Source organism: Homo sapiens, chromosome 14 (assembly GCF_000001405.40).
Source record: "Homo sapiens chromosome 14, GRCh38.p14 Primary Assembly".
In the NCBI taxonomy this organism is placed as follows: domain Eukaryota; kingdom Metazoa; phylum Chordata; class Mammalia; order Primates; family Hominidae; genus Homo; species Homo sapiens.
Window position 1 is genome coordinate 104,971,766 of NC_000014.9, and position 12,083 is coordinate 104,983,848.

The window sequence follows — 12,083 nt, forward strand, 5'->3', positions numbered from 1 at the left end:
GCTGTGCTACGTGTAGCCCCCCTGGGATCCCAGTGTGCCAGCCCTGTGCCCATAGCCTGGGTGTGGACGTGCCTCCAACAGGCAGTCTGGAGCAGGCCCACACAGCCGAGGCCCAGCCCAGGCCTTAGGGGCAGCGAGGGGTCAGACCCAGCCTGGGAGGTCAGCGATGGAACGGCTTGCACCTGCACCAGGCCCCAACGGCATGGGAAGAGGTGGGAAGGTGCAGCTGAGAGGGCTGCCCCCGCCACGGGATGCCAGGGTGGCCTGAGGTGGGCACACAGAGAAGGGGTCCTCAAGTAGGCCAGAGGACTTCAAGGGCAGGGAAGGCTCTGTCCCAGCCCCAGGGCAGGGGCACTTGCCGGCAAATGGGGTGGGAGAGGCCTCAGGGGCTCCTCAGGCCTGAAAGGTGGGGACCTGATTCCAGGCCCCTTCTGGGCCTCCCCCCATTGCAATACCCTAAAAAGGCTGACACAAAAACCTAACGGTCACAAAGATAGAAAACGACTCTATTTACACGGAGGCAGGAAAGCTGGCCACGTCTGCTCCAGGGACACTCCCAGACAGCTCTCACCTGGGAACGCTGTTTACTGTTTACCACCTGACACCCACACTCAGCCAGGCAGGGCAGGGCTGGCTGAGTCAGCGCCGTACCCAGAGGCCCAGCCTGCTGGAGTGGGACAGGAAGGAGACGCTGGCACAGAGCGGGGCCGTCATGCCAGACACAGCACTGACCCCCGCAAGAGCCTTTGCTGGGGCCCCCACCCCAGCTACGCCCACCTCACAGCAGCCAGAGGGAGGTGCCCTGCACAGCTGGCCACAGCGCTGGCCACGCAAGCCCTTCCCAGACCCTCGCTGCAGTGCGGCCAGTGTGGTCCGCCAAGCCCTGGAACACATGACGGAGATCTCCTCCTGGTGCACCCTCCCCAACGCGGACAGCCATGGGAACGCACCACACCCTGCCCCAGGCCCTCTCCAGACTCTAAGCACGTGCCACTGGCTCTGCCTGGGGCACCCTCCCAGCTCAGATCCTGGACTTGCTCCCCCGCCAGGCACTCAGAACCGAGCCCTCGGCTCCAGAGCCCCTGGCGGTGGGTGCCCACAGCACGGTGCAGACACACAGCAAGGGATGGGGTCAGGCTGGAGGCCCTGGGCTCTGGCTCAGGGGGCCACTTACTGGGAAGGGTAAGAGCTGGAGAGCCATGCTTCACACCTGCCCCTGTTGCTACCCAGTCCCAAGAGAGGCACACTTGACCACCAGCAGGCGGGTGCTGGGCAGGGCCTTGCTCACCTGCCTCAGTTCCCGGGGGCCCCACCTACCGGACCCCTGGCACCACGTGGTGGGACTCAGTGGTCAGGCAGGTGTCTGATCAGCTGGAGGGACGGCAAGCAGGGGCTCTGCTAAGCCACCACATCACAGACCCTGAGACCTAGGCCATCCGGCATGTCCCGTGATGCGCACTGAACAGCTAGTCCTGGCTCAGAGCTGCTAGGACCCAGGACCAGCTAGGAGTCGCCATGGGAACTCGGCTGCTGGCGGGGGCCAGGGAGGGCTGAGGGCAGCGGATGGTGAATCAGCCGGGAGGAGGCCAAGGCGTGAAGCTCGGCATTCTCAGGGCGTGTGTCACCAAGGAGCCCGCGGTGCTGGCTCACCCAGGAGCCAGGCCTGCCAAGCAGCAGGAGCAGGGCGAGGACCGAAGGCTGTGGCCCTAAACAAAGGGGCCTTAATTCCACCTGGTGGGGGTGAGTCATGGGGCCTCCTGCCCACCCAGGCGCCATCACCTGACAGCCCCTCCAGCCGGCAGGGCTCACACGGACATAGCCCAGTAAGGGTCCCCCAAGTGTCCTGCCCCTGCCACATCCCGGGTACCCCCAGCTGCCCCTGCTTGGCTATACCCTCAGCAGCGTCCAGGCAGGGGTGTGGCTTGAGATCCCTTTCCGGACTCCTGCCTGGAACAGCCTGGGCAATTGCCTAGCCTCCCACCACCGCCACCCCTGCAGGAAGGAGTCCCTCCCAAGAGCTCTGCAGAGAGGAGGCCCCGATGCCACTCCCACCCTCACAAGCACACATTGGGTCAGCAGGTCCGAGTGCGCAGCAGAGCTGGCAGGGCAGGGACCCGCAGCCGGAGGGGAGGGGAGGGCGGTGGCTGCAAAAACCTCTGCCTGGCCTCTGTGGGGTGCGGGGATGGGGGAGTACCGCCTCCCGCCCCAGCCCCTCCCCATCCCCTGCCTCCTGGGCTCAGCTCCATGTTTCCATTTTAGAAAGTGCTTCTGACTATTAAATATTTATCCGAGCAAGGAAGGCCTTGACTCCCGGCCAGCCGATGACTTCCAAAAAAAGAAAAATAAAGGGAAATCTGGAGGCCCAGGCTGAGTGCAGGTGGGGCCTGGTGGAGACACCCTCAAGCTCGCAGCGTGGCTGGGGATCCCGTCACCCTTAGAGCGGGTGGAGGGGAGCAGAGGAGCATGCCCCGTCCTCCTTGTGTGTCCAGTTAAGCCTCCGCTAAGCTCCCTTAGCTAACCTGGCCTCCACATCCCCCACGGAGCAGCTTCCTTCCCACCAAAACTGCCCTAAGACCTATGGGGCTCCCCGGTGCCCTCAGGACAAAGCCCTCCCTCCAGCAGCTGACGCTGCCACCTCTCCATCCTCACCCCACCCCGTCCCAGATGCACTGGGTTGAACAACTTGCAGGTCCCTGACTTCGCCCTCAGCCTCTGCAGGCTCCTGCTGCTTTGCCTCCGCTTCTTTTTCATGACCAGTCCCGGTCTCCATTGGGCCAGTTGTCCTCCAGGGAGCCCTCTCTGGCCCTTCTGTGCCCCCTAAGGCTGCACTGGCCACAAAAATGGGATTCACATTTGTTGACTGAACAATGGGTGGATCCTTCCTCTGCTGAGCTATGACCTCCCAGGTCCCAGGGTTCCCGGGGTGGCTTTGAGACCCAGAAGGATGGGTGAACAGGCCGCCAGACAGACGGGGAAGCACCCCCACAACTCACACCATCCCTGAGCGCAGGGTCCGTCTCTGCCAGCCGGAAGACCAAGCTGGGAGAGTGTGGCATTTTACTCCTGAAGTGGGTGGCAGGGACCCCCAGATGGCCAGTGCCCCCCACTTGCTGGGGCTTGGGGGCCTTTCCTCCCCAGCACCTATACTTCTCCACACCTGGCCAAGCCAGCCCCTAGCTGAGCCTGAAACACAGAGGCCTTCCGCATAGGTGTCACAAGAGGAAGGACACAGAGCGGGCCAGAGTCTAAGGGAGAGCTGGGAGTGGGCCCAGCAACCCAGGGGACTTCCCAGAAGAGGCAGCTCCTAGCCCAGCCCAGGACAGAAGAGCTTGGCCAAATGGAGAGAAGGCAATGAGGGCATTCCTGTTGTAGGCCCAGCCACGACGAGCCCGGATGGGAGTGGGCACTCAGCTTCCTGGGCATGGAGAAGGCCGGGAGGGAGCGGGCTCCTGGGGCATTGGAACTGGAGGCTCTGCGGGCTTGACCCTCCTGTCCACTTCTGAGCCTCACCCCCTTCCCTGAGCTGCACCAGGTGGGCACTGCCTGAGGCTTGGGGCAGGAGCCAGAGGCCAGCAGGCAGCCCAGCCTCCCTCCCTGGTGGTCCAGCTTCTGTTTCCCCACCAGGGAAAGAGCTGGGGTTGTTAGGAACACACTTACAGCATCACTGTCGGTGGCTTCTGAGAGGCCACCTCACTGGAGGGCACTCCAGGATGCCCTCTGCTGCCTCCTCCTCAAGGCCCATTCCTGCCACTAGCGGCTACAGAGGGGCTCCTTTGCCTGCGGTCACCCTGCCTGGTGGGGCAGGGCAGAGCCAGCACCTGTCAGAACAGCATGTCACCGACCAAAGCGTGCGACATTCTGCTCTGGCCCCTAAGAGCCCAGGGAGTCACTGCGTCACTGTCCCCAGCCTCAGTGTCCTTGTCTGCAGAATGGGAATACAGCCCTCCCCCAGTGTAGATGACCCAGTCAGGGAGACACCAGGGTGGTGACAGACCCGCCCGCGCTGTCACTCGGCATCCCTGGCTGCGTGGAGCTAGCAGCACAGGCAGCTGCAATCACTCCTGACCCCGAATGTGAGGTCCTGACCCACATTTGCAGCCTGAGGCCCTGAAGAGGGCACCAGCGAGGCACAGAACAGCGAGACCACCTCCACAGCTGCCTTGCTTTGCACCCTTCTTGGGAAAGGGCCCAGCCATCTCATGACCCCCACCGCAGAGAAGAGACCACCCACACATCTTCGCATGGTATCACCACCTGGGGCCTTCCCAACACGGTGGTGCTTTCTTGGGGGGTCGTGGGAGGTGCTCAGGCCACACCGGGGCAGCAGGTGCAGGGTGGGGGCCGGGGCCGGGGAGGGGTTCCCTGTCTCCCCAGTTATCAGGGGCCCAGCTCTGCCCCTGGGAAAGAGGCAACCTGCCCCTGGAGTAGGCAAGAGTGTGACACCCAGAGCCCACTGGGAGTGAACTGGCTGGTGTTACAGTCGGCAGCGCTGCGTGGGGTGGTCCCAGCATGGCCACCAGGGGGCAGCCTCGGCACAAAAGCCGCCCAGGAGATGGCTCCCTGCTGGGCTGGTGCCTGGTGTGTCGGGCAGAGGGCAGGTTTGGACTGGACAGGAAGACGAGAGCAGGGGAGAGTCCGCCCATCTCCAGCCTGCTGAGAGGAAACTGCAGGTGGAAAAGGCCTGGACCAAATCCAGGCTGGGAAAGGCAGTAGTTGGCAGGGTGCTTGTCAGGAATGCACGTTCCTGGGCCGCAGGGTTGGGGAGGGTCTGGGAACCGGTGTGCTGGACAGAACTCCCAAGGTCTCTGATCTTGCAAGTCTCCTACCAAAGCTCCAGCGAGAGCCACTGACCTTATTCCCTAAGAGCGGATGGTTCCGTAGGCTGGACACAGGGAGGGACTGCCCCAGACGGGCTGGGAACCATGAAGCCAGCACAAGCCTCTGTGGAGGCAGGGGGTGGATGAGATGGTCCTGGACCCTGCAGCTTGGGAGTCTCTGGGTGCCCGTGAGTGAGGAGGAAGCAGAGCAGAAAGGCTGTGCAGGGAAGCTGGGGGCAGGGTAGTGGTCCCATGCCTGGGGGCCCTGCCCTTCTCCCTCTGAGGAGGTCGACCTGCAGCCATGTGGGCAGGGCCAGTCATAGTGAAAGAGGAGGGGGCCAGGGGCCTCCAGCCCACCGGAGCCATCATCCTCCCGCTGCTGTGCCCAAACACCTTGGGCTCCCATCTGCGACACCGTGAAGCAGGTGCTGTAGGGGCCTCCCTGCTCTGGAGCCCCCCAGACAAGCCTCCCACCCTAAGTGCGCACCAGACAGACAGGCCACAGGAGGGGCCTTGGTAGTGCCTGCTGCAGCTGGGGGGCATGCCCAGGCCAGGGGCACCCCTCTCACCTGCAGCATTGTCGGCACCATTAGCATTGACCTGTTTTCCCCAAGGAGTGGGGTCCAGCCTGCACCAGTGCCGGCCAGCCCAACCCCCTGGCCAGTGGCTGCCAATGCCCTGGGTGTGGTCAGCTGCAGCAGCATAGACCCAGCGCCCAAGGGACTGCCCTGCCCCCCTCAGCCCTGCCCTCCAAGATGCTGAGACACCCAGGCCCCGGAACCAGGCCCAGTGCAGGGACAGACACACAAAGAGCAGCAGGTACACATGCCGTAGCCTGCGGCTCAGAGGGAGGCTACTGACCATCCCTGGGGGCATGCCAGTAGGTAGCACCCACTTTCCCTTGCCCAGCACTGCGGGACCCTGTGGCCTGACTTTGACCCCATTCAGGCCCCTCACCAGGCCCCAGACCTCAGGCCTAGCCCTGCCACAGCCTCCACCTAGCCAGCGACCCCACCACACAGCCACACAGTAGACGCAGCCCAGCCCTGCCTGGAAGCCCCGGACCAAAGTGGAGAGCCCAGACTCCTGGACCAGCCTGGCTGCTCTCCCGCAAAGCAGGTGAGAGGGCAAGCCTGGTGCAGGTGCCCCGGGTCCCGGCGGCCCCGGCTTTCACGCCCCTTGCAGACACCAGCCCTGCTCCAGAGTGCGGTAGCACCTCCCAGGAGGCCGCCTCTCGACCAGACAGCGTCCCAGGAGCGGGGCAGGAGCGAGAAGGAGAGACAGACAGGGACCGCGAGTGACAGAGGGAGTGAGCGACAGAGACGAGTCAGCCACCGAGAAACAAAGTGAGCGACAGAGACAGTCTCAGAGGCCGGGAGAGGAGCAGGAACCTACAGCCACGGACAGGTAGAACGCGAGGCATGGGAGAAGAGACTCCAGCGGCCGGGAAGGCCCAGAACCACGCGCGAGTCCCGCAGGCGTCTCCGAGTCCCCCGCCCCCAAGGCCCGCACTGCGCGCCCCTGGACACGCCCCGGCGCGCGCCCTCGCGCGTAGCCCACCCGCCCCAGGGGAGCGGGCTGCAGGCGGGGAGGGGCGCACCGCTGCCGGGGGTTCCGGGCCAGGTGGGCAGCACCATGTGGAAGCAGTCGCACATCGCGGCGGCCAGGCGGTGCGGGCCTGGCGGCCCGTCGCGTCCAGTCGCTGGTCCCGGCTCCGGCGCACGGGGCGGGCGGGCGGGAGCCGCGCTCTGCCCCGCTGCCCTGCGCTGCCGCGGGCGGCCGACCTCGGACTGCGGACACCGCGCGCCAGGCTACCCAGCCGCTCAGCTAGGACCCCGCCCGGCTCCGCCCAGCCCTGCCGGGCCACTGCGGAGCGCGCTCGCGGGCGGTGCCGTCGGCCTCATTCAGCCCATTGGCTGCCGTCGCCGCGGCCCCGCCCCTCCCAGCCAGGCCCCGCCCCACCCCGCGCCCCCGGCCCGCCTGTCGCGTCCGCAGAATTAACTTTGGACTCCCGCCAGGGAGCGACCTCTGGATCCCCGCACCGAGGCTCCTGGACTTGCCGCTGTCTTCACCTCCCATTCCGGGGGAGACAGACACTTTAGTCAGAAGCTGGGGTGGGGGGCAGCCTGCGGGGACAACAGGGGTCGCGGGCACCGCAGGAGGTGATCTGGCAGCATAAGGACAAGATAGAATTCTGCAGGGGCTGGTGGGTGGCAGATACGAGGACGCGGCTGAGAGCGTGCAGCGGGAACAGGGCGCCCCGGGCAGGGCTGCGGGGTGGGCGCCGCGTGCGGGAGCGCCCAGCGCTGGGGGCAGTCCTGGAGCCAGAACCCCGCCCAGAGTCATCCTTTCTGCTGATTCTTGTCAAGAGCCTAGGGCCTAGGACACAGCGGCAACCAGCACCCCACTGGCCCTGCCCCAGGGGCTCCAGGTCTGGCGTAGACACAAGCAAGCCTGTAAGGATGAGGCGTTCTGCAGGGCGGCACTGCCCTGGGGGCGGGGGAACGGAGGTCCTGGAGGGCTCCTGGCAGTGTAAGCTGGGACCTTAGGGGTGAGACATGTGCCAGGCAGTGTAGGAAGCGTTCTGGAGAGAGGGGACAGAGTAGCGTGTGTGCAGAGAATGGGGGCAAAAGGGCTGGGGTTGAAAGTCAGGCCCAGTGGGCGGGGGCAGGGCAGCAAGGAGGCTGAGGGGGCTCCTGTCGGTAGGAGGTGCCACTTAAGGCTCCAAGCAGGGTCTCTGAGCGTGGTGAGAGCTGAGGAAAGACTGCGCAGGTGGCTAGGGGTGTTGGCATGGGGCACAGCTGGAAACAGGAGCAGTGGAACCACGGCCATGGTATGGGAGGGAGTGAAAGGATATGCAGGCAGAGGGGACTTGGTGAGGATCAGAGTGCAGAGGGTGGGAGCCTCCCTGGGATCTAGCTTGGGCACCACACAGAGGCAGCACACCTGGGGGTGTGGACAGGGAGGGCAGGGGCCCAAGGGAGTTCTAAGAGTTTGGTGACGCCTGGCCTGGTGTAGACCCAAACCGGGCATACCCCAGAAGGAGTGGAGTTCTGCAGGGATTGTCGGGGAAGGCAGGGCTGGAAGAGACCCAGGAGAGGACCGCCACCTCCATGAGGAGCTGCCTGGCAATGTCCAGGGGTGTGGGTCAGATGCAGGGACACACACACACACGGACACACATACGGATACACACACACATACATACATACAGAGATAAAGACACAGAGACACACAGACACACACGGACAGAGACACAGACACACAGATACACAGGTACACATACAGACACACACACAGAGGCACACACAGACACACACAGAGACACACAGACACACATGGACAGAGACACAGACACAGAGATACACAGGTACACATAGAGGCACACTCACACACACACAGACACACACACAGAGACACACAGACACATACACATAGAGACACAAACACACATGCTCTGTCATACACACACACACACACACACACACACGGACACCTTTTCCTGGGGTGGGAAGAGGCCAGGCTGTACCGGAAGGGCCAGGCAGACACACACACTCATAGATAAGATCACAAACTCACCAAGACACAGACACAGGCCACCTGAGATATTTGATACACTCAGGCCTGCATGCATGAACACCCACACCAGGATACAGACCCATGCACGTGTATACATACACACAGGGGCACACGCATTCCTGGGCTCATTTGGAGACCACGCACAGCTAGCGGGCCCAGGTGAGCCACCCGGGCACGATGACTCACCCTAGACAGTTCCCGTTAGCCGCGCTGCAGCCACCGGGCAGCCATCCAGCAGCAGGTCAGATGGACGCCAGAGCCACTGCTGGGAAGAGGCCCTGGCAGCCTCCTGCCAGTGAGCCCAGGCATGATGGGCACAACCTTCTCCCTCGTGTGGGGACCTGGCGCAGGTCTTACCCCACCCCCTCGCAGTGTCCTTTTTTCGGGGCTGAGCAGTGTTGCCTGGGGTCCAGAGGCCCTGCACTTACCTCCCTCCCCAGGAGCCCACCCTGCTCTGGTCACCTGGAGTCAGTCACTCCCTGGACACAGGGAGAGAGCCACTAGGGTGCCTGGGTGCATACACCTCTGTGTGTGTCCCTGGATGTGTCTATGCCTCTGCCTGGTCTGCTGGGGTTTCGCCCGCTAGTCCTCTGTGTCTGAGTCTGGCTGCAGGGCCTGGGAACGAGGGGCCGCTCAGGGCACTCACCCACCTTTGTGTCCTCAGCCCCTTTAGGTGTGTGCCCTTGACAAAGTCATGTGGCCTCCTGGGTCCCCATCCAAATGAAGTGGCCCCTCTCCTGATTGTCTGGCGTGATCTGCGCAGGGCTACGGGGACTCCCCTTGGCTTTGCGGGATGGGTGAGGATGGAGCCCTGGGTGGGGAAGCCGAGGTTGCCCCCGACATGTCCCTGTCCCTGGGCTACTACCTGCTGCCCCTGCCTCTGTTTTCCTTCAGCAAGATGAGAGAACCCTCCAGGCCATCTTGGTGGGGGCCGAGTGAGAGCGCAAGTTCAGCGTGGCGTCACGGGAGTGTGGGGACCCCACACTTGGGAGGACTTTGCCCTGGTCCTGCCCCTCAGCCTGGGGTGGCTGAGATCTTCCCCTAGCTGTGTCCACTGGGCCTGTCCTCCCCTGGCTAAGAAATGGTCCCAGAACCAACCACAGCTGCCCAGGTCCAGGAACTTTGCCTCTGCCCTGCACGGGGCTGCCCACTTCCAAGGTGGGCACAGACACACACACGCAGCTGCGCCATGCTCCCCTGTGGCCCCAGAATTCAGGATGGGGTCTGGGCAGGGCCTGCTCCACCCGGAGGCCGTCCCTCCCTTCTCCTGCCCACTCTGAGACAGAGGGCTGGTGTCTCTCTGCAGTGGCCTCTGGCTCTGCGCTGCCCTGAGTGCTGGGGCCACAGTCTGGTTGTGACTGTCGGGGAGCTGGGGACTGCCCCTCCCACCCTCCTTCTGGGGGTCTTCTCCTAGCTTGAGGGTTAAGCTGACAGTGTCATGAGTAAGACACCTTGGGGTGTCTGTCCAGAGAGCTTCCCCACCTCAAGGAACCTGGGGTCCTGAGAGCTCTATCTCACTCCAGATGCCTCTGGGAGGGCCTGCAACTTGGGCAGTGTACCCCCACAAACAGGCAGGCTGCGGCTATGTGCAGTTGAGGACTGGCTCCCCAGGGGCCAGCCAGAATCCCTCCTCCCGCCCACCAGGGCCTCAGCAGCTGAAACAGGGGTCCAGGGTCACAGCTGTGGGAGCAGGGGAGAAGATGAGAGGGGCTGCCAGCCCCCATCCCGGGCCCTGCCCGCCAGCTGAAGCCTGCGCTCCTGTCGTCACGCCCAGCTCCAGTTTCCTCCCCATGTGCCCCTCTGAGGACAGATGCCCAGCTAGGGAGGACCACAGAAGCATGCCTGGGCTCAGGAATTCATGCCCCCACCCACAGCATCGCTGGACACAAGCCCAACTCACAGCCGCCCCTGGCACATACAAGGCCCCACACCTGCTGTAGGTGTCACCCCAGGGAGAGGGCATCGCATGCTCTCTCCTGTGCACACAGCCTCCACCTCTTCCCTGGACCACTGAGATGGGGACACTGGCCCAGCCCACTGGTTGCCCACAGCCTTCCTGAGGCTGGGTGCCGGGGCCTGGGTGAGGAGCCGAGGCTCCCCAGGCCCTGATCATCAGCAGAGCCGCTGCCCTGCCCCCATGGCCTGACTGGCGCTGCTTGCCTCCACCCTCTGCAGGCAGGGATGCCCACAGCATCAATGATTGATTCTTGCTGCGGCAGCTGCAGCAACATAAGCAAAAATAGCTCTGCTGTGGTCCCTGCCCCGCCCCAGCCACAGCCTTGCATCCAGCCCAGCCTCGTGCCCAGATGGAGGGGTGTGAGGTGAGGTGGGAGCATCTAGGACTGTCTCAGCCACTGCCTGCCCCTCCTCAGTCTTTTATACGGAGATGATGGGGGAGGACCCCCTGACCAGGTGGGGGACACTTGTCCACCCAGCCTCCCACTCTTGCCTGACCACACTGACTCCTGACCTCTAACCGCCTCACTCTCCCCCAAAGCTGGGTGCCCGTTTCAGGCCTGGGTATTGTCCCCAGGTCCACTTCCTCTGCACCCACACAGCTGGGATCAGGAAATGTGGCAGTGGTGGGGCATGTCAGGGTGCTGCCATCGTTCCACTCGGATGGGTTTCTTCAACCCATGTCTTCATCGGGCTCTCTGGCTCAGCAGTCCGTGTGGGCTAGCCTGGGATCCGAGCAGCAGCAGGTTCCCATGCTGCCGCCTGCAAGCCCTGGCACTCCTGCTGCCAGAGGTGAGGACAGGCACACGCCCCAACTTGCCCTAGGGACTTGGGGCTGAGGATCCCAGAGGACCAGGATGCCTGGGTGCTTCTGGGGACCCCTCCCCAGCCAGTCCTTGCTCATCAGGTGATGCTGGGAGATCCCAAGATGACTGTGGGGCTCTGTGCATAGGTGGCACTTGCCCCAGAACCCAGGCTGGCCCCTTCCTCCTGAGACTAGGGTAGGGAAGCTTGGCTCCTCTGCAGAAGGGAAGGTGCTCCCCACACAGCCATTGAGCAGGGCTGGGGCTCAGGGTGGACCGAGGTGGCTGGAGAGGTCCTGGGAGGGCCACATGGGCTCCTCGTCCCGACCACACTCCACCTGCCCCCTCCATGCCCCTCGGGAGTCATGGCTAATGTCCCCCACACCCAGGCTTTAATGGGAACCCACCCTCTCCGGCCCAGTCTCCCCTAGCAGCTGGGCCAGTTCAATTTGAGCAGTGCCTGCTCCAATCGCCAACCTGGAAGCCTTATCCTCAGCTCGTGCCTTTCAGGCTGTGCCATGAAGCAGGATGGTCTGCCCAGAAGCTGGCCCAAGAAGCCAGCAGCGGCCTAGCAGCCACCTGGGCTGCCCCCACCTCCTCCTGCAACCAGGGTTGGGCACCTGATGTCAAGGTTGCCGCTGCCATTTCCTCTGCACCTTGGCTTCCCCGACGCAGCACTTCTCAGTGGGTCACAAGGGGTCACTCAGGCATATTAGTTCCCTGCTGCTGCCATAACAAAATACCCCCGACACAGTGGTTGAAAACAGCATGTGCGCATTTATCAACTCCAGTTCTAGGTGTGGGCAGGATGGTGTGCCTTCTGGAGGCTTCAGGGGAGATCTGTTTTCTGGTCCCTTCAGCCTCCAGAGGCATCTGCAGTCTCGTATCACTCCGGCTCTGCTTCCATCTTTGCGTCTCCTCTCTGACT

The 12,083-nt window shown here is 63.6% G+C and overlaps 1 protein-coding gene across 1 annotated transcript in view, besides 3 other annotated features; it reads right to left on the reverse strand.

Moving 5' to 3' along the window:
* AHNAK2 (AHNAK nucleoprotein 2) overlaps positions 1 to 6,609 on the reverse strand; it is a 41,122-nt gene extending 34,513 nt beyond the window's left edge. Inside the window, exon 1 of the mRNA NM_138420.4 lies at positions 6,418 to 6,609. Coding sequence (NP_612429.2) covers positions 6,418 to 6,472 — 55 coding nt within the window. The 5' untranslated portion in view covers positions 6,473 to 6,609. The remainder of the gene's footprint in view (positions 1 to 6,417) is intronic.
* Positions 3,987 to 4,066: an enhancer, noted in NCBI's record as "active region_9126". NCBI's record gives its function as "activates an Ori minimal core promoter by ATAC-STARR-seq in GM12878 lymphoblastoid cells {active_cell/tissue: GM12878}" and the evidence as "EXISTENCE:reporter gene assay evidence [ECO:0000049][PMID:35858748]".
* Positions 4,267 to 4,486: a silencer, noted in NCBI's record as "silent region_6207". NCBI's record gives its function as "represses an Ori minimal core promoter by ATAC-STARR-seq in GM12878 lymphoblastoid cells {active_cell/tissue: GM12878}" and the evidence as "EXISTENCE:reporter gene assay evidence [ECO:0000049][PMID:35858748]".
* Positions 6,593 to 6,752: a silencer, noted in NCBI's record as "silent region_6208". NCBI's record gives its function as "represses an Ori minimal core promoter by ATAC-STARR-seq in GM12878 lymphoblastoid cells {active_cell/tissue: GM12878}" and the evidence as "EXISTENCE:reporter gene assay evidence [ECO:0000049][PMID:35858748]".